The sequence below is a fragment of the Homo sapiens genome, chromosome 1 (genome assembly GCF_000001405.40).
Source record: "Homo sapiens chromosome 1, GRCh38.p14 Primary Assembly".
In the NCBI taxonomy this organism is placed as follows: domain Eukaryota; kingdom Metazoa; phylum Chordata; class Mammalia; order Primates; family Hominidae; genus Homo; species Homo sapiens.
The window spans coordinates 176930011-176954563 of NC_000001.11; the positions used below are offsets into that span (position 1 = coordinate 176930011).

The 24553-nt window shown below is 41.3% G+C and overlaps 1 protein-coding gene across 7 annotated transcripts in view; it reads right to left on the minus strand.

The window, feature by feature from the left end:
- The window catches only part of ASTN1 (astrotactin 1), a 307392-nt gene that overhangs the window by 72690 nt on the left and 210149 nt on the right, over positions 1–24553 (minus strand). For 5 of the 7 annotated variants that reach the window (NM_001286164.2, XM_017001341.3, NM_004319.3 and 2 more), the window contains exons 12-16: positions 19175–19341; positions 15916–16110; positions 13881–14008; positions 6256–6360; positions 4142–4330 (exon numbers count right to left, since the gene is read on the minus strand). In NM_001286164.2, coding sequence (NP_001273093.1) covers positions 4142–4330; positions 6256–6360; positions 13881–14008; positions 15916–16110; positions 19175–19341 — 784 coding nt within the window. Of the gene's footprint in view, positions 1–1515; positions 1675–4141; positions 4331–6255; positions 6361–13880; positions 14009–15915; positions 16111–19174; positions 19342–24553 lie in introns of all 7 variants that reach the window. The other 2 variants (XR_001737193.3, XR_921796.4) reach the window with 1 other exon arrangement.

The window sequence follows — 24553 nt, forward strand, 5'->3', positions numbered from 1 at the left end:
AAAACAAAAGGATAACAGATGGTGAGTTGTAGAATGGAGTGGAGTGGCAGGAAACGGAAGAGGAAGAGATACACACGAGGGAACGATTGCAATAGTTTTTGAAAACCTTGAAGAAATGGAGAAGAGGAGACCCTGTTGAAGACATACTTAGGTGGTGAAAAGGACTTTGTAATGGTTGAATGTGGAGAGTAAAGAGGAGGATCAAGAAGGAATCCTCACTCCACACTGTGACCCATCAATGGAGTTCACAAATCTACCACAGTGTAGTACTTACAGGGAAGAGAAAAGAAAGCATCCATCATTGAGGTGCCTGGAGAATTTCCTGGTAGAAATGCTAAACACTCAAGAGCAAAGGAGGTTTCAAGCCTCAGAAAAAAGGAGAGAATTAGGAGCAACAGCAGAGGTAGCTGCAAAAGGACAGCGCCCAGCAGTAGGAGGGAGAGACTCACTAAGGACAAAACCCCATGAAATGACCAAGATGTACATGGTTTCTTTAGAGGAGTATGGGCAAAAAAGAATGAGAAATAAAGGCTAAAGATTTATGAAAAGAATCTGGACAGAATTACATCTGGGGCATCAAGAGAAGAGAGGATTTTCAAGAAAGCTGCCCTGGTAAAGAGGGACACAGTCTTCTGCTGAGATACATGGGATGGTCACAGGATTGACATCAGGGAATCTCTAATTAAGAAGCTGTAGGGTAGGCTTCCTTCTCCAGCGCTGTTTTTGTAGAGTAAAACAGCTGAAAGTGATAATTTGAAGAGTGAACTGGAGGTGAGGAAGTAGAGAAAAGAGGTATAAACTACCCTTGTAAGAAATGAGGTGCTAATACATTGAAAAGGTACAGCGGTAAAGAGGGGCGTGTGTTTATAAAAGGATTATTTTTTAGGAAGATACAAGTTTGGAGAAGAGAGAGTTCAGTGACTGAAGAGGTTGTGAAGATTAAAATGGAGGAGGGTAATGAAGGAGTGAGGTCTAGAGGAAGCAGGGAGGGATGGGCGCCGGCACGCAGGTGGAGAAGTTAGTCTGGAAACGAAGAACCTCACGACCTTTTCTGAGGCATGTGGGCAAAGAACGATGGGAGAAGATATGAATAAGGTTAGACATGGGGACGGGGAGGTTGAAAATTTCATTTCTGAAATGTTTTACTTGCTCTGTAAAAACAAACTAAGAAAGAAGCTGGGCACGGTGGCTCACGCCTGTAATCCCAGCACTTTGGGAGGCTGAGGTGGGCAGATCACCTGAGGTCGGGAGTTCGAGACCAGTCTGATCAACACGGAGAAACCCCGTCTCTACTTAAATACAAAAATTGGCCAGGCATAGTGGTGCATGCCTGTAATCCCAGCTACTCTGGAGGCTGAGGCAGAAGAATCTCTTGAACCTAGGAGGCGGAGGTTGCGGTGAGCCGAGATCACGCCATTGCACTACAGCCTGGGTAACAAGAGCAAAACTCTGTCTTTGAAAAAATAAATAAATAAACAAATAAATAAATAAATAAAAAGGCTTCATCAGACTTACCTTGAGCAAGATGATCCTCAATGTTGGTATGGCAAACCACATAGTGTTAGCATGATAAATAAGTGCCTGTTAAATGGGAGGCTGCCTTCTGAAGATCTGGCCCAAAACACTCATCTCTGAATTTTCCTCAGTCAGGCATAACTAAAGCAAGTTACATATCTGCAATAAAACCCACATGGAAGTCACCACCTCAGGGGAACTTTTACACCATTACTACCACCATCACCACTGTCCGTGACAACAAAGCAACAGCAACAGCAAACACCTTGAGTGCTTACCATGTGCTTGGCTCTGTGGCTCTTGGAATTTAAAGTTGAATAAGGCAAAGAACCTACTCATGAGAATTCTATGACTTTGTAGAGAGAAGGGGAGACTTTTACCAAATACCTAACCTGAGAATACATCCTATGTAAAGGAAGATTCATAAGGATTCCTAAACTGTCGGGGCTGGAGAACTAGAGAGGGCATTACAGATGAGGTCCAGATAAGTGATTGACTAAAGCAATATCACCTGGATGACTCTAGACTTCCATCCTTAAGTCCTGTGCTTTTTCCATTTCATTTCACACTGGTAAACTTCCTTTCCTATTCAATCCATACGTAATTTTAGGTATCTAGTCATAGGTACAGAAATAAGAAACAGAGAAACTCATTTTACTAGAAGGGTTTTCAAGTCAGAGTAGGCAATAACATATAATCAAAGGACTCAAATCCAAAAATAGTGTCCCTTGCATGTCACAGAAGGTATAGCCCTTGCAGCACACTTGTCATTCCTAGGGTAAAGTTCCGTTCTGTATCAGCCCTCTCAGAGAGCAGGACAGAAGAATATCTCCCTTTGTCTTACGCACGTATCATTCTTTATCAGTGACATTCCCTTTTGCTGCATTTTGGAATGAAAGGAAATTGATAACTAAGGAGGAGAAATATATTTAAAGAACCAGACTAAAGAGGAGAACACATAAACCCTATAACTTAGAGGTAAGTTTTAGGAATTAACGTGGTAAATAGAGATTGACGTAGACCTACTAAAATGTTTGAATGCCTTTTAAGATTAGTAACAAGCAAGGAGCTTAATATAGACCATATTTCAGAGAACCAAAGTCAACACTTAGACTGTGGCAAAACTAGCCCCTGATTGGCAAGAAAGGCTTGCAATCAAGATAAGTAGGGCATAATGCCAAGACCGTGGACAGAATTCCCTCTTGGATTCAGTATTTAACCTTAAGGACACTGCATTGCTTGGGAGAGAGGCAAGGCCTAGAACTAGGAGCTCTTGGTAGGGTCAGACTTTTATCTCCCAGAAATCTGAGACCCTGGCAATCCTTGAACCACTGGCAAACAGAAATAGAAGAGGATTCAGCCCTCTGGTTCAGTCCTCAGGCTCTGGCATGAAAACATAAGAAAGCTTTGCCAGCTGGAACTGGTAGTATCTACATTTGCTTATATTACATTGCTCTCTTGGCAAATTGGAATCAGAACAATGTTAAGATCCTAAAGTTTGAAGAGATAGCAGAAGCCTGTGGTTTTGTTTCTGAGTTCACAGGAATCAAGCCTTGAGGGGAATGAAGGACTGCAGCCACTGTAGCCCAGACACAAATCTCTTGTTTCTTCTGGGAGAAAGTGCCCAGCCAGAGGAGAGGCCATCATAGCTCTGCTACCTCTTCAGCAAGGCAAAACAGGAATTTGTGTGGAGCTCAGAGAACCAACAGCACCTCAGTCACAGAGACATACTTGCCCCTGTGGCAGTCCTGCTGACAACAGAGGTCCCTTGTCTCAGAGGAGACCTTCCTTGGTCATTAAGTCTTAAGATGGCCCATTTCTTGAGTTTTTATTGTGCTAATTCATCACTTGCCCTTTAGCAAGTCCCATATCTACAACTTGGCCTCATCAGAATGCCATGTGGATAAACTCAAGAGAAATTCCATGAATGGCAATTCTAAAGCAGTCTTGGTTGATCAGATACAAATATACTGGCCACTATGCCTGCTATACCAGAGGGTGAATCAAGAAGGTATAAAAAATTCCAATTTCTTATACTTACTTGAACTGAATACTAACTTGCTGTCAAGACAGTAGACAAAGATTTATTTGTGAGGCTGTTATTCAGAGCTATATAAACACTTGGCCAATAGAGATTCCCTCATAACACAAATCAGTCGGAAAAATGAGCCTATGCAGAGGGCAGGATGAAGCAAGAAGGGGTTTACTATGTATGTAGCTGCTATAAAGGGATTCCAGGCAGAGTTGGGTGTGACTCCTGGAGACTGAACCACGCTCACTGCTGCTTCTCTCCTACTTTATACAAGCAGTCTGATACTTTGTCCTCCCTAGGGTAGCAAAATGGATGGTGGCTGGCAAGAACCTTTAGAGGACTCTGTCTGTGATAACTAACATAGTAAGCTTACAGTGTTGACCCCATTCTGCATCTAAAATTCCCTAAACATTTTGATTTTGAGATTTGGTTTTTGCAACCAAACCTTGGAAATGTTACAGATGGGCACAGAGCATTAGGGGAAAATCTGATTGAGTCGTTACTACAGACTCCTTAAAATGGGTCTTATAGATTGTATGCAGGTAGCCAGTACTGGCATGAGGTATGGAATTTGCCAACAAGCATGCCACTCACCTTTACTGATGTCTTCATACTCCAGCCAGAGTCGCCGCTGGACCTGCTTGTTTGGGTACCAGATAGAACAGGACTCCTCAAAGCCGTAGATAGCTTCCTGGATGTAATGGTTGCCGAACTGGTCCAACAGCGCCACAAAATCTGCACGAGATGTAGCCCCATCCAGCGAGTGGAGAGCATTGCTGAGGGCTATGGAGAGGCATCACCCAAGGGTAAGAATGAGGGCTCAGATTTTGGGTATACGGATTCCCAGGCAATTCAGTCCCAAACATGGAAGTGCCTGTGTGGCTCAAAGTGATGTGGGAGAGCTAGCTAGAAGTGTCTGGTGAATGTTTCCATTTAGCTAAATGAGACATTTCAGTTCCTAAGTGAGTATCTTTTAAGCCAGTTGGTTGTATTAACTTTGTGCCAAGTTAAGCAAAACATTGCCAAACCTCTACTCCTGTCCCCTTTAAATCAATGTGTTTTTTTTTTTTTAAATCACAGGTCATGACATTAAATCAATTTAGTGAGTTCAAATAATAGCATTTGAAAAAAGCAGAAACAATTAGCATAGTCTAAAACAGAAACACAAATACCAGCCGAGAACATTTCACATCGTGAAGATAAGTATCGCTTCATGAAACTTCTGTTGTGTGCATGTGGGAGTATGTGTACGCGCAAGGTCACGATACAAAATGTATTCTAACTGTGGGTAGTGATCAAAAAAGGCAATTGCAAAATACTGCCTTCAGACGTAGACATGGGCAATAAGAAGACAATGACAGAAGAAAGGAAAGAAAAGTCACTAATACACTCCTATTTTATTGCAGAAATTCTAAAATAAAAGGACTGGGAAATGACAAATGGAAGAGAAAACTTGTTGGCCTCCTCTCCCCCAACCCTGCAGGCAAATCTTCTTGGATTTGCTGTCTCTCTTTAAGAGAATTACTGTATATCTGTCTGAAAGATGGCCTATGGTAAATTTTCCAAATCCAATACCTTTTGGATCTAGCTAGCTTTTCACGGTCTCCTTTTCTACGTACCTGTCTCCTATTAAGGCAAAGTAAAGTCTAGCTCAGCTTGAGACCTCAGGTGCTGAGATCCACATCACAGCGACACCATTGTGTGACTTTGGACGGCATGTGGCACCAGCGATATTTGATTGTTAACTCCTGATATGCACAGCATCTGTGCTGGGTGCACATTGACTATGTAAATGGAGTAAAGTCTCTAATATCGTATTTTCCTAGAATGAAAAGTAGCTTAGTTCTTTCTAGATGTGCTGCACCAGAAGAGTTTCTGTCAGTGAGGTCCCCATCCTAATCACTTCTTGCCAAGAACTCTTTTGTGTTAAAAAAGAAAAAGTTCTGGGTCCCCTGTGTCCTATGAAAATGTGCTATATCCTCAATGCATTATCTTTATGCACAAAACTTTACCCTTTGTGAGTTTCTGTCTCACTTAACTTCATAACTTTTCTATTTGTCCTCTACCATTTATCTTCCTCCCATTGGCCCTAAGGCTCTACCTCCCTATTGCTGACTCTGAAACCCTAAGTAAGTTTAGAACTCACTGCTGCTTAACTTACTAGCTATAAAGAGAGGGCTAATATCTATTTCTCTCTCTCTCTTTCTCTCTCTCTCTCTCTCTCTTTCTCTCAATCTCTCAGTCTCTTTATTTCACTCACTTGCTGTTTAGGAGCGTTAAGCTGCTTTCTGGTTTTCCGTCCCCCCTCTTTCTTGCTCTCTTTTTTTAGTTCATTGTATGGAGTCTCTAAATTATGCTCTTTGCATTTGGAATGCTTAATTCTCTCAATTTGTAAAAAATCTGCTTTTATGTATCCTCTCCACATACTGGATGAGCCCAGGAAAAATTATACCTTCAATGGCTCCAGTCTTGCCCTTTCCCTCTCTTCTGTAGTCCAAGATAACACATGCAATGTAATCTCTACTTAGAAAAGAATTCGATTCTAGCCATCTGCTCTTCTGGATAAATCTGAGTAAATAGCTCACACATCTCATGCAATAGCTACATTTTAGGCTGCATCTTCGACAGTGGGACCAAAGGCTTCTCCCCTTGGAAAGGACTTCTAAGTTCCAGGGAAGGTGGGCAGGATAGCCTGCAGCAGTGCTCACCCTGAGAGATGGCCACTTGGTTGAGTTTGATGTGGTACATCACAGACCGGACCTTCCAGTGCTGCAGCACAGGGTACCCAGACACTTCACTGAAGTTCACCATCCCTAAGGACAGAAGAGATGTAAGCTGAGTTCTGATACTGATTCATAAGTTCCAAATCAAAAAGCATGACCCACCTCTATGAGGCGAAGTGTTGTAATTGTGAGAAAATGATTAAATGTTCTTTGATGAAGAGAATTTCTGGAACCATAGTAACAACAGTTATCATTTATTGAACCCTTACTCCATGCCAGGCATTTTGCTAAGCACTTTGCATACATATATTAAGCCATTTGATCCTCATGGGACAGTTGTTATTATTTGAATTTTATAAATGAGAAAATCGAGGCTCTAAGGCTGGCTATGTTACTGTAGTAAGTAGTTTCAGAATGATAGTCACTTTCACACACAATAACTTCTGGTTCTCAAAACCTGACTACACTCTCTCTGGCTACCTGGCAAATAGGTTTTTGGTGCCCAGTCATTTTGTCTGTAAAGCGAGAGGCTTAACTGAGATGACCCCTTGCTTCCTTTTCAATTCGGATTTCTACCAGCTGTATGGTTTTGGGCCATGCAACTCATTTGTTCGCATTTTGATATCTGAAAAGTGGGGATAATGGTATTCATCCTATCTACTTTACAGGCAGGTTGTGAGAACAAATAAAATTGGGGGCGTAAAAGTACTTCAAAAAAAGATAAGGTCCCTAAGACACCAGGTAAGCCAGGATGGGGCTCCAGATGAGTCTGAGGCCAGGCGGCAGTTCTTACTCATTCTGCTATAATATCCCCATAGCAAATTTATATTAAACTCTAGGCTTACTGTAATACACCTGATTTTTACTCTCTTTAATGGTTGCAGTAATTGACTCAGCCCACATACCTGATAACATTGATTTTTCTGTCTCATTTAACTGATTTGTGTTCAGTATTTAAGTTTCAATTTCTCTCAGGCAGATAATGCTTATTTCTTCTTTACCAGAAGGAACAGTATCAGGGTGACTAAATCATTAAGGGGCAGGAACAGCCAAATATTGAGTGCCATCTCTGTGCCAGACATTGTGATAGTCGTGTGCTGTCTCCTTCTTACTAATGGAAAAACTGAGGCTCTGAGAAGTTAAGTTAGTTGTCCAAGGTCACTCTCAATAAACACAAACTTACAGCCTCTTAGTGATGTTATTAATGGGCTATTCTTCCTTGAGTACCTTGAAGAAAGAGTGTCACCCTGTTTGAATTCTAGCCATTACTATAAATATAAATGCTACCGAAACAAAATAATTAGGCCATAGGAAAAAAAATTGCCTTGCTAAGTTTAGAAAACCAATTTTAGCTTTATTTCTATGCTTAATCTTTGCTATATGTGTAAGTTATAGGAATATATACACACAATTGCATATGTGTGTACATATTTATATATATACAAATATAAGGGCAATATATAGTAAATTTATATATATTATGCATAGAATGTGTGGTGTGTGCACATGTCTACAAATATAATGGCAATAATACATATGTAGTGAATTATCCTGCCATTTCGACCCATGTTTCTTTCAGGCTAAATCAACTAATTTAATGCTTAAACTGGATGAAGAGTAGGTAGGATTAATTAGCTGCTTGTCAACCCTGATCAAATTAGGTGAGTAATTGCCAAATTTTCATTTCTGTGTGAATCATATGGGAATAATTTTTGGTAAGGCAAAAAGAAAAAAGGTCAGGAAAGGTGCTTAGTGAATCAATTGCTTAAATTTTATCTTAGGCAATCAAAGGTAAGCTACCTGAAACTAAGAGAAGGTTTTTAGTATTCTTTTCTTTCAAATATTCTTTCAGGGCATTAATCTTTGTGACTACCAACAGTCATACTATTACATACTTTGGCTTTTAACTTCTACGTTAACTTCAAAAGCATACAAATGGAATTCTAACTTTACAAGTTTAAGACTTCAGTCACATGCTTTAAAGGTATATTTTATTAGAGCATAAGATGTGCATCTATGTAGAACTATTTAATAACAAGTATTGTCTAGTTAGGTCAGCTCAACAGCTTTGCTTTTAGTTTGAAAAGTTTATTTATAAAAAAATAACAAGCCCACTAAATAAAAATTTTTCAAATTATTAGGCAAAGCCACCTTTAATTGAATGATTTCCTAGGGGAAAAAGAAACAGGAAAGGAATCACAAAGCCTGAGCTCTAAGGCTGGCTGTGTTGCTGCAGTAGGCAGTTTCAAAATGACAGTCACTTTCATACCCATAACTTCTTGTTCTCGCAACCTAACTATCCTCTCTGGCTACCTGGCTCAGGGATCTTTCAGTTCCCAGTTGTTTCATCTGTAAGGTGAGAGTTTTAGGTGAGATGATCTCTTGCTTTCTTTTCAGTTTGGATTCCTACCAGTCATATGACTTTAGGGAGGCCACTCATTTACTTGTGTTTTCATATATGAAAAGTGTAAATAATAGTATTCATCCTATCTGCCTTATAGGCAGGTTGTGAGAACAAAATAAAATTATGGGCATAAAAGTTCTTTGAGAAAGCTGGGCGTGGTGGCTCATGCCTATAATCCCAGTACTTTGGGAGGCCGAGGCAGGCAGATCACTTGAGGTCAGGAGTTTGGGACCAGCCTGGCCAACATGGTGAAACCCCATCTTTACTTAAAAAAAAACAAAAAACAAAAAACAGCTGGGTGCCTGTAGTCCCAGCTACTAGGGAGGCTGAGGCAGAAAAATTGCTTGAACCCAGGGGGCGGAGGTTGCAGTGGGCTGAGCTCACGCCATTGCACTCCAGCATGGGTGACAGAGCAGGACACCATCTCAAAAAAAAAAAAAGAAAGTTCTTTGAGAAAAGAGAAAGTATCATAGTATCATACACATACATGGCCTCCACAATGTTATCATCTTCACCCTCCCTACCTCTCTCTCATCATACCTAACTGCGTAAACTTGGCATTTCTTAATTGGTGCTTTTGTTATAACTTCCTCGGCTTTTAAGTCCAGAACAACAGAGGGAAGATAAAATAAAGAAACAAGCACAGATGTTGGGTGGGGAAGAGGGGAGGGATAACAGTGTTCCATATCCATCCAGAATGGGCCAAACAACCGAACTCCATTACTTAGCTGATCAACATTTCTCCTGGATGCATTTATGCCACACCATAGTCAGGGAACACTTACATAACTGTTAATGCTTGGAAGTGTTTTTCCATGCCTGCGTACAGATAATAATTCCATTAGTTAAAAAGAAAGGGGTATTTTAAAAGATATATATTTTCTAGGTGAGCCATATGACATACTTTCTCAAGGTGCCCTTGACAGGCAGTCAGGTTCAATTTTTTAAAAAATTTTTATTATTTTGGGACACATTTCTGCTGAATGACTTTTTTCAAGCAGTATCTCTGACTATGTTTTTTCAAGAAAAAACATTAATTTTTCCTACCTATGCTTGAAAAAAGAATGACTGAACAGACTTTACGGGCAATATTCAAAGCAAGAAAAAGAAAGAATGAGGAAGAAGGAAGGAAGGAAGGAAGGACAGAAGAAAGGAAGGAAGGAAAGAAGGAAGGAAGGGAGGGAGGGAGGGAGGGACGGAGGAAGGGAAGGAAGGAAGGAGGGAAGGATGGAGGGAGGACACTAGCTTTTTCTTGTTATTTTATCTGAAATGTCAGGGATATATGTATATTGCCCCAAAGTTCTGAAGCCAAGAGTCCATCCCCTTTGGATGAACTTTAAAAAATTCTGAAGAGCCCAGAGGTCTAAACCTTCACACAGATTTAATGACTGTGTCACCCAACAGGCCTATGAATGCAGCCAGCAGCCTCCTCTACCTCCTCTGGACTTCCTTCTCTTTCTCAGCTGAAAGACTGAATATACAAATGGACAATGGCCAGATTATACATAAAAATAGAACTCTGACTCACAATCCGCAGCAACCAGCTCAGAAAACCAACCCATTATCTAGAGTAACCAGCCTAGGAAGCCAGTCTACTATCTGTAAGTCAGACTTATAGGAAGTCAGACCACTATCCATAACAAACAGCCCAAGAAGCCAAAAAATAACCACTATAACAATTGACACCAAACAACCCGGACTTGATTAATAGCTGACAACTTCCCTATTTTTTTCCCAGTTCCACTTAAGTCCAACCAGAGAAAGTACAATATGCACCCCTAACTAATCACATAGGATGCTCACTTCTAGTTAAGCCACCTACAACTTTCTCAACCGACAGCCTCCAATATGGGCATACTTGAAGCCTTTCCTTTTTTCTCTCTAAAGCTTTTCCACTCCTCTGCCTGCCTTTGAGTCTCTGCCAAAATACAAGTGATGACGGCTATAGCAAACCTCCAAATAAATAGCCTTTGCCTGTTCTTATTTGCTTGGTCTTTGTTTATTTCCATACAACATATAACACCAAAAAGTCCTGTTATTTTGATGAAGAGGGAAGCCAGCAGCAAGATAAGACATGTAGTTCAGTATTTTCCAGTGTGTTCTTCAAACTGATAATTCTGCAAGATAGAAATAGGTGTTATGTGTGAAAATGATTCTCTAGTTAAATAGACTCGGGAATTGCTGGCTTAAAGTGAAAAGGATTTCTTTACTGCAGGGCTTCTAGGAAACTTCTCTAATGTCGAGGTGTTGTCTATTGCTGAGAGGAGGAGACTCTTTCCAAACATCTTTGAAGGCAGAACCTGTTTATGAATGGAGCTCTGACTTTTCATAAGAAAAACAACAAATAAAAACAAATGCTTGGAAATGATGATATAGAAGATTCTTAAGATCACTTTAGCTCTAAAATCCTCTGAGCTAAATTTATGGGAATTATGACCTATAATAGTAGATACAGTGAAATGATATAAGATTCCCTATGTAAGTCTAGGAAAGATATAATTAAAATGTTCCCAGAACTAGAGATAACATGGGGAAGATTTGGCCAAGTATCTCTTTAATAGATTCCTCCAGTTATTCTCAGCTTTAAAACAAACCCAATCCCTGCTTACATCAAAGGAAATATGTGACCTTGGCTTAACTGGTACCACTTCTTAACAAAAATAGGTTAAAAACAAACGCAAGGTAGAAAAGTAGCCAGGTCAAGATTCCCATAGTTTTAGCTTAGAGGATTTTAGGGCTAAAGTCATCTGAAGCTTAAATTTGACTGCCTCGGGATCATCAAAATAAAAGTGTCCCATCTGGGCATCCTTCTATTCCTTTTGCCTCCAATGGGCCAAATTAGGAGGTCCAATGGCATGTGCAGGAAGTACTTTCTATCGTGAATGAGCACCAGGTTTGGATCTTTCCTTGTTCCCACAGAAGGGGAGTCAACCACATGTTTTTCTGATGTTTCTCAGCTTTATCCACCCTCTCCTCCCCAAAAGCTTCAGGTAACATCCAGGACTTTTCTGGCTATCTCATAACTGAAGTAAAATCTCTTCTCTCCACCATAAGTTATATTGTGAGAGAGGTGTCCTGCAGATCTTTAAACAGAGCCACGTATCTTATTACTGGTGTGGTACCTACGCTATTTGTATGTGCCACCTCGCACGTCTTCAAGGCATTTTACACACACATGTGGAATGTGTCTGCCCAAATGGTGTGGCAACAAGGAAACTAGATTCCCTAATGCCAGAGATGCAGGCTTTAGGGATATGTCCGGAAGCTGCAAGTTAATTTCTTCAGGTGTGTGTATGTGTGCATGTGCGCGTGTGCATGTAATATTTCATAGGGCAACTGATTTTGAAGAGATTTATTGCTGGTCCAGAATATATTTAATTGTTTTTTCTCTTGCTCTTTCTTTTCTATAAGGTAGATATTACTTCATAGTTTTCATACTATTTTCCTTTTTCTTTTAAATATTTATTTATTCAACACACATAGATCCCACTATGGGTCAGGAACTGTTCTAAAAACTTTACAAATATGAATTTATTTATTCCTCATATCAATCCTATGAGGAAGATAGTATTAGAATGCCCATTTTTACAGGTACAAGAAATTGAGGCACAGAGAAGTTAAGTAATGTGTCTAGATCACACAGCCAGTGAGGAGCTAAGCCCTGCTGCCAGGCTCCAGAGCTGAGGCTGTTAATCACTATGCTATATTATATCAGACAGACCTACATCTCTTCCCATTCAGGTCTAAACTCACATTTTTAACATAACTTGATGTCTGGAAGAGACCTACCCTTAGCTGAACTCATTCTTCAGAAAAGGAGGGAAAAAGGAGAGGAAGGTGTGAAAGGAAAATATCTTGGGCCCCCCAAATCACTAAGCGAAAGGGAAAAGTCAAGCTGGGAACTGCTTAGGGCAAACCTGCCTCCCATTCTATTCAAAGTCACCCCACTGCTCACTGAGATAATTGCATATCTGATTGCCTCCTTTGGAAAGGCTAATCAGAAACTCAAAAGAATGCAACCATTTGTTTCTCACCTATCTGTGACCTGGAAGCCCCCTCACCTCTTAGAGTCTTCCTGCCTTTGCTTCCAGTTGTCCCACCTTTCCCAGACCAAACCAATGTACTTTGTGTGTGTGTATATATATATATATGTATATATATATATATATATATATATATATAGATTGATGTCTCATGTCTCCTTAAAATGCGTAAAACCAAGCTGTGCCCTTACCACCTTGGGCACATTGTTGTCAGGACTTCCTGAGGCTGTGTCACAGGTGCACGTCCTCAACCTTGGCAAAATGAACTTTCTAAATTAACTGAGACCTGTCTCAGACTTTCTGGGTCTACAAAGGTATTGAATAAGGAAGACAGAATGAATAGGGAGAAGTGTAACAGAGAAACGTACAAAGCAATCAGTGGAATTGAACTCATGTCTAGTCTTCTAGCAAGTGTTGCCAAATCTCAGTCAGCCGCCTCTCATTAGTCCATGGGACACCTTGAAGTCTCTTCCTTGGTCCGGGAGGTGCCAGCTGGGGGTCTTCAGAGACACAGGCAAGCATACCCAGAGATTCCTGCCTCTTCTAATTAATCTGTGTGTTTGTTCCACAATGAGTCTGAAGGAAGAATACTGCTGGGCTCAAAACAATACTGAGGGGCAGGCATTATTATCCCCATCTTATGATGGGGGACCATGAGGCCACATGAGACTCTATTGTCTAATGGCACACAGCTAGAAAGTAGCAGAGATGCAAACCCAGGGTCATGTGACAACAAAACTGTCATTTTCTATTTCCTCGTGATGCTTGGTAAATACTTGCCAGGAAACCCAACAGTAGCAATGATGGATATTTAGGTGAGAGTAGCAATCTAGCTTCTCTCTCTGCCTCTGTGACCTGGTCACTTCCTCTAATCCCCCAAGAACTCTAAGCAACCATTATCTTATTTGTTTTCAATGCATCTCTGTGAAACTAACAAGAAAATACACTATTAGGACCACTTTGAAGGAGATTATATGATAATATCAACAATTTTATTGAAAAATAATCCTACTAGCATTCAGTTTTATGGCTGAGCTTTTATTGTGTATGAAGGAAATCACTGGCTTAGAAACCAAAATAAGTGAGGTCAAATCTTAATTTTATGAAACTGCAGGGAGCTGCCTGTTTGTGCCAGTTGAATAAGGTTGAGAAGGCACACTCACCAGTCAGGAAGTCAGGGTCAGGGGTGGGCTCCGAGATCTCCTCTAGGCATTGATTCTCCAGGGGCACAGTGGCCACCACAAGACCATCTGGCAGTTGCTGGTCTAAACCACGAGCAAAGTTGTTTTGCCTAGAAAGAGGGTAGACCTTCATTTCTGAGTGTTCAGGTGAACCTGACTCCTTACTGAGCATTTTTTTTTTTTTTTGAGACGGAGTTTCACTCTTGTTGCCCAGGCTGGAGTGCAATGGCAGGATCTCAGCTCACCGCAACCTCTGCCTCCAGGGTTCAAGCAATTCTCCTGCCTCAGCCTCCTGAGTGCTGGGATTACAGGCATGTGCCACCACGCCCGGCTAATTTCAACCCACAATGTAAAATTATTATTTTTGTTGGGACATTGTCTCACTCTGTCACCCAGGTTGGAGTGCAGTGGCACAATCATAGCTCACTACAGCCTTGACCTCCTGGGCTCAGGTGATCCTCCCACCTCAGCCTCCCAGGTAACTGAAACTACAGGCATGTGCCACCACACCTGGCTAATTTTTTGTATTTTTTGTAGAGATGGGGTTTCACCATGTTGCCAAGACTGGTCTCAAACTCCTGAGCTCAAGCGAACCACCCACCACCTTGGCCTCCCAAAGTGCTGAGATTATAGGCGTGAGCCACAGTAAATGGCCTCCCAATGTAAAATTCTTTCTGAACCAAGAAGTTCCCCTCACCTGAACCCCACTGTAAATACATGTCGGAGTAAGACGTAATGGGTATGATTGGTGGGGTGAGGGCTGCGGAAATGGGAAATAAACCAGCTGAAAAGATCTACCAAAAGGGTAAAGACTATGCTTTCCTCTTTCCCAACTCAGTCCCTACTTCCTGACCTCCTCTCGACAAGATCTAGGCAGAGGCAGTCTCATTTCTAGACTACAGTGAAGACTTCAGCCACCACTAGATTAGTGATGACACCTCACTTCTTGCCTTTGGCAAACCAATTCCCAGGCTAAAAGGGGAAATGTTAGTAATGTCTCCTGTCTACAACAGAAAAAGCAGCTGATTCCAAAAACTGTCTTGAAAATTGACTATCAGTTTGCTCATGAGGGTCTAGGCCCAGGTTGCTGTCAACTGCTGGTCCATATCATAATACTGACATCCTCCTCCTCTTCCTCCTCTTCCTCATCATCATCTCCCAGAAAATATTTTCCCATGGGTTCTAAGAAGATGTATTTAAATAGTCCAAGGCAGAACAGGGACAGGCATTGAATGGAGAACCACCTAGAAATATTCTAAATCAATGGTTTGAAACATTTTATTCTCAGGACTCCTTTACACTCTTAAAAATAATTGAAGGCCCCAAGTAGCTTTATTATATTTATATAAAAAGGCCCAATTATGTCTATCAATATGTACAATATTAGAAGTTAAAATAGAAATTTTAAAAATTTATTAATTCACGTAAAAACAATGAATTCATTCAATATTAACATATTTTATAAAACATGAGAGAAGTAATATTTTATATTTTTTGCAAATTTAAAAAATATCTAACAATTGAAGATAGCTGGATTCTCATATCTGAATTCAATTTATGGTAATATCTTGTTTGGGAAGAAAATTCAGCTTTTCTGTAGTTGGAAAAGGCAGGACCTTGGATATGCCCTAAGAGGGTTCCTGGGACCCTTAGGTATCCTTGGATGACACTGTGAAGACTGCTGTTCTAGACTGACTCACACACTGATGCTTCCATTCATAGGGAAATGGAGCTTGAGCATTTTCGTGTGGGCTTCCATGCAAAATCTTCCAGTCCCTGCCTGGGCAAAGTAAAATCTCATTTAACACTTTACTGTTAATCCAAACTAAGCATGGTTCTTGGATTCTGGAAGAAGGAATGTAGACTTGGAGAAGACCAAGGGTAAGAATGTAGTCTATCCCTTTAGACATATCATATTTACCCTGCTCCAACATATAAAGCTTTATGCTAGTGCAAACTCTTTAGAGAAAGTCCACCAACAGTCTTGAACAATCAGTTCTATGTATATGAGGTTTACCTGAATGTTCCTTTCAGCACCTGTCCGGCAGCCACTTCCTTGGAATGGTTGTTGTAACCAAAGAACATCTCCCCAAAGAGGGTCTGGTTCATGGGAAGCTCCCTGCTTTCCCCACAGTCACTTCCCTCTGGACAGGTCTCCGTGATGAGTTGGCAAGAGCGTCCATCCACACCAAGCTTGTAGTCCTCGATGCACCTAGCACAGAGGAGAGCTCAATATAAGAAGTTATTCCATCAATGACCCATGCAGGCAAGTCAACCCCGTATATTGGGAGGAAATGCCTTTGACAGCATGTTGGATCACCAAAGATTAGATTTCCAAGTTATATTCCAATTTGATTTTGACTCATTGTTTTTTTAAGCCTGTAAACTGAGGCTCCTTTCATCATGTGATCAGACTAAATCTCTCACCTTTGCTGTGCAGAGAAGTGCTGTCAGAACTTTAGAGTAGCCTCTCCTCTAATAACTGTACAGTTACCCAAATAGGTCAGGGTAAGAATCACTGAAGATAAGCTTGCAAATGAGTTAGCACATTTAAATCCAAGATATTCTAGAGCTTTTCTTAAGAACCATCTACATGGTCAGACCCTGCATTTGTTTGAAGGGTAATAAGGCAGCAAAAGGAATGACACCATGCTTAAGAAATTAATAACTTTCTAATCTGGTCCTGTGATAAGTCAACTAAGAAATTAGAAAGATTTATCATCTCCTGGCACTGTACTGTTTGAATGTATCCAAACACAATATCAACCCATAAAAACTCCTCCTCCATTAGGAGTAGCCTTCCTGAACTAAATAGACCCTAGGGCACACAGTGTGAATGCCATGTGCACCATTAACCAACAACTGCTTCCTTGGCATCCTCCTCATTAGGATGGAAAAGCAACATCAATGTTAGTAAATATGGGTCAGCAACTCATAAGTCATTAATTGGACCTTATTTGTAGTTATAGTGAGAAGAATTTACATTTTTTAGCTAAAGTAAGAACTTTTCTCATAAGGCTGTCATTAAAAAAGAATATTGATTTAATCTGGGTCTCTCATTGGGCATAAACCAAATTTAGAATTTAAAGATGCTCATGATATTAAAGCACATCATTTATTCCTATCCACAGTCACTGTTATAATAAGATAAAGAACTCTGTCTTATGTAGAGGAACAAGGAATAATATAGCGAGAAGCAATATTGTAATAGCAGTGACTTTGTCCTTTACATGGAAACCTTGGGCCAGCTGATTAACCTCTCTGAGCTTCAGTTTCCAAAACTGTAGAAATGGGAAAAAAGTAGCTGCTTCACTGGGTTGTTGAGAAGATTGAGAGACTGCATGTAATGAGCTTATGCAGTGCCTAACACATAGCTAGTGTTCATTAAATATTACTATTTGTAGAAGTAGAGGTGCAAATGAGGCCCATGTTCATGCACCTTTAACTGCTTTTTCCATTTACCATTTATATATTTGTGTGAACAGGTGTGATTAGAGCTCTTTAATTATAAATGTATGTGATTTGGTCTTTATATAAGAATCTCAAATCAAGGACTTCTTCGGCACGCTATATATAGTACCTTAGATAGTGCTAAACACACGTGTGTCTGATTCTTATTGAAACAGGAAAGAAATCCAGTCCAGGTCCTACTACATTAGTCCAGGAAATAGATGTGACTCAAGATTCCCAGAGGATTCCATGACACCAGCTTAGGTCTGGGACAAGATAGTGAAGTGGTTCCTTCCTTGAGCAATAGCACAGTGTTTCTAGGAAGAATTCTGAAGCTGGCTGGTTCCCTCTCAGTCCACCTTGAACATCTGGACAGCTTCCCCTTTCACACTGCCTCATCTTCCTCATTCTCCTGACCATGTGTCCCACTGTAAACTCCTTTGAGGGGAAAGATCAGGTCGGGTATCCTGTTCTTTTTCCAACACCTGACACCCAGGGTTCTCTGTGCAAAGTAGGTGCTCAAATATATGTTTATTAAATAAATACATTTATATAACTTTGGCTGAATTGACCTCTATTAATTGAAATGGGTCAACCCTAATGATAACATTACAGAGAATATTAAGATATAGAGCAAGCTTCCATTTATGGTATGAGAGTTTACAAGAAACTGAATGTGAAAATGGTTCAATTACAAAGAAATAAAATGAAACACAATAAAATAACATTACATGATTATTCAGCAGGCACTGGCTTTGGGCAACAATCCAGCCTAGTTTTATGACTATAAACATTGATTATCATTGCAAGCCTATCAGACTGTGAGATCCTTGAGGGCAAGAACTATATGTTATTTATCTTTGCAGCTCAGTGGTCGGCACAGTTTGTGGCATAAAGTAAGTTCTGTCCTTAGCAGGTCGGAAGAGAGAGGGGAGGGGAGGGAGAGGGGGGAGAATGGAGAGTGGGGGAAGGATAGACAAGCTAACTATGGCTGTAGAAGAATAGCTGAATCTTTGTTTACTTTATAAATATAGCATAAAATGTCTTTAAATATAATTCCAGTCAGCAGTATAAATTTAAATTTCCAGAGAACCACAGAACTTTTGAAAAATCAGGGAGGGCCTGAATCCAGTCGTAATCTTCTCACTCACCATCTTCCCAGCTTTGAGGGAGTCACTTAACCTCACTGTGCATTAGTTTTTCCATCTGTAAAATGGGTTTGCATTGCTTGCCCTGCTCCCTCACAGAGTGATCCTGAGAAGAGATGAACTGAGGTGGGTGGGAGAGCCTGCCTGCAAGAAAGGGCTCTTCACACGGAGGAATCACTGTGCCTCAGGAGGAGTGGCTGCACACAGTGCTGGGACTTTGGGGGCAGAATTTAGAAAAGTTTCCATTTGTCCAAAGACCACCCCCCTTTTTTGAGAATTGACTAGTTTTGCACACTCTTTCCCGAGTTTTAAACAATAAAAACCTTTTGTCACAAAACACTTAATTAACATAGCCTTTCAAAACACAACTTGGAAAATGCTGGTTTAATTGGAGAATGATTTAAGTAAACCATGTAGTTAACTTCCCCTTGCAGGTAAATTCCCCAGACTCAGTTTCCCCATCTATAGGGGCTGGACTAGACTTAGGTCCCACACAACTTTAAAATGTTCCCCCTCGACTTTAAAAATGTTCCCCCCCAAGTCCTAGAGGCTCTTTCCTCAGAGACTAAGGGATGGCCTAGGGTGACCTATTCACTCACATTTCCTGGATTTAGCATTGAAAGTCCTGCGTCCTGGGACAGATGGACGCCAGGTGGCCTCGCTGGCAGCTCAACTCACCCACAGAACATGAGGATGTTATACAAGGTGGGGTCGTCCGGGAAGGGCGCCATCTGCTGGAGGCACAGCTGCTCACAGCCGCCGTTGAAGCCGTCGGAACAGTCCACCCCGATGTGGCGGTCATAGCAGCCAGAGCTGTCCTTCATGGGACTGAGTCCAGATGGGCACTGGCACAATCAGAAAACATCCACATACGTGGGTGAATCGGGGAACTGAGTTCTCTGGGAACTGAGTGTAACCACTGACACCAATTTGTAGCACTCAGCCTTGAAACTATTAACATTCGCAAGTAATCCATGAATTTCCTACCACAGCAGACTTCTTTTAAAAACAAGTGACCTTTTTTGACGTCTTTCTTCTTCTCTCTAGACACTGATCACACACATTTGCATTAAAGACACTTCCTCCAAAAAGGCTGGAAGAGAGCACTGTAGCAAGACACAGCCGAGGTGTACTGGCCTCCCAAATGGGCCTCTGGCTGGCAGGAGAGTGGAAGTGATGGGCCAGAATGAAAATGCATTTGCAAAGATTCCACTGGGCTACAGGAAGGAAGTGCTGCTCTTTGGCCTTGGTGGTACTATGAGTTTTTTAAGTGTCTAAAGCCCTTTGTCAACAATGGTACCAAATAGCAGTGTTGGGGGGAATGGACTGAGCCAGGGCTTCCAGCCTGAAGGAGGAAGTGAACATTCCCTGTAAGCTTAGAGGGGGGTTGCTCTCATAGTGGGAGTAGCTGTGTCATCACCTCCCTGTGTCAGGGATGCTCTTTGGAAGACACCTAAGACACAAGGGTACCTACTATATGGTCACCCACAGGTGCTGCACTTGGATTTGGCTGGATGCTTTTAATGCAAAATATTTAGCTTTTCAGCACTACCTTGTCCTCAGTAATATACTCCCCAAGAATTATAGCAAAGAGAATATCTAAGAAGGGATGTCTTTTCCCAGGAGAAGACAAAAGGACTTGGTGAGCAATTACAGCACTTACCCATCACCTATTATATGCCAGGCCGTGGTCTAAGGTGCTCACTAACTCATGTGATCCTCACAACACCCCCAGGAGGTAAGCAGTATGATCATCCCCATTTTGCATATGAGGCAACTGAGGCACAGAGAGTTTCACTTTCTTAAAGTCACACAGCTGCTCCTGGCAGAACCATGCTTGAACCCTTTGTAGGTTGGCTGTGGAGTCCGTAACTTAGCTGCTTCATCATTAGCACACACCACACTTAACCGTTTACACAGTAGTCACCGTTTACTGAACACTTATGAGGAGCTTGGCACTATGCTTAAGTACTTTAGGTATTTTATCTCACAATACCCTATATTATCCCTATTTAGAGGTAAGGACACCATTAACATTGCCAGTTAATTCACAAACTCTTCTCACTGCACTGGGCTCTGTTTCAAAGTCAATGACTTTTTTTCCCCATCCTGCACCTTCTGCTTGTGCAACAGATTCTGTACATTTGCATTAGAGCTAATCCTTTCTAATAGGCTGGAAGCAGGTAAATAACTTGCACAAGGTCAAGCAGCAGGAGTCGGGCAGAACTGGGGGTCTGTCCAGATCTGACTCCAATGCTGGGGCTTTTAATGACTATGCTGTATACATATCGCCAACAAGTTAACACACTCCTCCAAAACCAACACCAAACTAAAGCAAAACTTTCTAAACTCAATGAAACACAGTGTTAAACATCTCCCCTCCCTCCCTACTGCCTGGTTTGCACTTTCTCTTTGCTGCCAAGCACCTTGTCTTAGTAGCCCACAGCTGCTGCAGGTGTGCCTCTGAAAACTCACCTCTCCTTCCTCCTCTTTCTTAGTTGAAGATCATCACCAGGCAGGATATGCACTGTTTGCTAACACTAATTCTGTAACTTCCCAAACAAATGGCCCCCTGTGGGCCTGCCAGGCTCCCAGCCTGGTCCATCTCCCTTTCTCCCCATGAAGGCAGCTGGAGTGCTGGAAGGTGACAGCATTTAAAGAAGTTTCCAAGGGCTGCCTCGTGCTGTGCAAACCCAGCTGTTCCAGATGATGGTAAACAAGCAAATGAGGCAGCTGAGGATTGCCCCCCATGTTTTGCTAGCCTCCCACTAATCATATTCCTTGGCCACCCAGCTGTTAGGCCAGATGTGCCACCAGAAGGGAGCTGGCTTCAGCACTGTGCGGCTGCCCAGGCATGGATGCAGGATAGAAACCTGGAAGACATGGAAGTTTGATTGGAATTGAATGGGCTGCACTGGTTGCCATGAGTTTGGTTTATTTTTCCCTCCTTCTAGACAGCTTGCTAGAAGCCATTAAGCAGATAAAGTCAGTCCTTCTTTTATTCCCACCTCATATGGTTTCAGCCCTTGTACCACCTAGCTACCTCAGTCACTAGCCAGTAGTTTCCATCTTTCCAACCACCCGCTTTTTTCAGAGTTCTCCTTCAAGCATGATTTTTGACAAAGACTTTGTTGAATGAAACATGAGCAGGCTTTGTTTCAGAATTCCAAAACCACATCTTGCCTGGCTTTAACGTCTAGATGACCACTGCTATCCCAAATTGGACCAGCTGAAATTCATACTCTCTTAGGCAACTTGCAGAAAAGACAGTTAGCTGTCTTGTCCAGGTTTTTTATTTTTTTACTTATCAATAAAGCCAAAAATAGTATTAATAGCTATCAGAAATTAAGCAATTCTTTGTGTAGAATGGTCTACATATGTTATCTTCAACCCAATAACACAGGTACATTTCATCTTCTACAATTTAAAGATGAGGAAAATTAGACTCAGAAAGATGAGGTAACTTGTCTAGGGTCCCAGTGGTGGAAAATGGCATGATCAGACTTCGGGCCTAGATTGTCTGTCCTGAAAGCATGTGTGTTTTCCATCTACTCCGCCATGCTGCTTCTCTAGTATGATAAAATCTGGATTCATGAGAATCCCTAAAGAAACAAAGTCAATGTGTCAACAAAGCAAAGCAATCCTGTAGATTTGGTGATTGCTTTAAGGAATTCCCAGAGTGTGTTCTGGGGTCAATTATGGATTTGTAGATTCAGCCTAGTATTTTCTTTCTTTCTTTTTTTTCTCTCTCTCTTTTCAAACACACAAACACACACACACACACACGCACATGCATGCATACACACACATGAAGTACCAAAATACTGAGTGTAAATATTTTAGGACAAAACATTATAAAGTGTCCAGAGTGACGACCTTGATGGCGAGTCAAGATCCTCAATCACTGAAAAAGATGCAATTATCCCTACTGCACTGGAACTTGCTTAGGCTGCAGTTCAGAGTAAAACATTTTAGAAAGATTTCCAGAAAAAAAAAAGGCTAAAACCCAAAATAATTTTCTTCTTAACCTTTGGGAACCCGAACACACATTCTTTAAGGAGTTTCCTAAGGTATAAATTTGTTTTGTTTTTTGCCTGAATCTTCTTTCTGCTGTTGCATCCACATTCTGGGTTCCCTCAAAATCTATAGCTAAGTACAAAGAAACCAGAGTCTCCAAACCATGCCCTTCATCCTAGAAGTGTTTGTTGCCAGAGTCCTGTTCTCAGAAAGAAATCCTGCCTCCAGGAGAAGCATGCATTTTCTGTTTGCAAGGGCTGGATATTCTTTTCTCCTGGCTCTGGACAATGCCTCCACTTATTCCTTGAAAGAGAACTGTTTGATCAGGAGAGACCCCCAAGGTCATATATTAACCCTTCTTTGCATAGGTTATATTTAGCATTCCTAGGGACTTTATAAACTACAGGCTTAAGAAGAAAACTCCATTTATTATGGCAACAGCCCTCCCCTAACAAAAAGGTTGAGCAAATGAGCTCATATTTCAGTGACCCCTAAAATACACAAGGTTAATCACCTTTCGTGAGATGCTCATGGCTTCTTGACTTATTAGTGGTATAAGGCATAATTGGCTAATGAGATTAAAATGATTTTTCCCATTCAACTCCTTTTCTTTGTCATCTTTCCCCTCTTTTCCTACCAGTGATTTTTAGTTGATTAATTACTTAGGAGGCTGGTCAAATCTCAGGAAGACTCACTAAGATGCATACTTCCGTTCCAGATTATGAAGTGGGTGCTCTGTTGGGAGATGAGTATGAGAGATAAATACATGAACATATTCAGGGCCTCTGGGAGAAAAGGGATAGATTCTTGCAGCTGATCCTGCCTCACCTTACCTTAGATGATTCATAAGACATGCAACTATAATTCCTATTAGAAATGGGTTCTCTTTTACTAAATGGCAACCTCACTTCTTTTACAAATAATGATTCCCAAACTTTTTGATGGGCTCTGACATGCAGGCTCAAGCCATGCAGGACTTCTCCCAAGGGGAAAAGTTTGATGGAGTCAAATTTATATTTCAGCAGTGATAGCTTCCTGCCTCCATTTCTCTGGAAGCCTCTGAGGCACACTCTTCTGCTTACTGTCCTACAGAGAGAGAGATGGTAATCTGTGATGGTCTCCGCACATCTGTGCTCCAGTAGAGGTGAAATGACACATTTCATGGGAAACCATTGTAGATAGCATGTGGAGGGAAGGGCGGCAGGGTCACTGGGTAATTCAAAGCTCATTAGAGCATAATGCTCTGGCAAGGAAGGTCGTGTGTTCAATACATGAGAAAGTGGGCACCCGATTTCTCCCCTTCCATGGCACAGGCTGCTCACCTGTGTACATTCTTACGTCTTACAAAGCTAAGGCATTTTTTGGCCACTTTCAGAATGAGTGTGAAGTTAAAGAAGGAGCATTAGAGCATGGGTTTTCCTCTTTTTCATTGCATTAGAAATCATTTTCAAAGATTCAAACAAAATTTTATATGAAACCTCAATAGATAGACTTGATAAGGGTGAAGATATCCTGGCTAAAGCTCAGAGCAGGGAGGCTGAAGTCCTGCCAGCCAAGCCTGCTCCAATCCCCACTGCCATCTCCCATGGCTGCTCCCTCCAATGATGTCCCTGGCATAATCCTAGAAACCTGTGAAGATATCACCTCACATGGCAAAAGCGACTTTGCAGATGTGATTAAATTAAGGATCTTGAAATGGAGACATTATCCTGGATTATCTAGGTGGGCTCAATGTAATCACAAGAGTCCTTGAAAGCAGAAAGAGGAGGCAGAATTGGAGAGAGAGGGGGATGTGCTACAGAAAAATGGTCAGAAAAATGCACTGTTGCTGGCTTTAAATATGGGGAAGAGTCATGTGCCAAGAAATCTGGGTGGACTCTAGAATCTGCAAAAGGCAAGGGAATGGATTCCCCCTAGAGCCTCCAGAAAGAATTGCAGTCCTGGTGGCATTTTGATTTTAGCCCAGTGGGAACCATGTTGAATTCTCATCTATAGAGTTGTAAGTCAATAAATATGTGTAACTTATAGCCACTACATCTG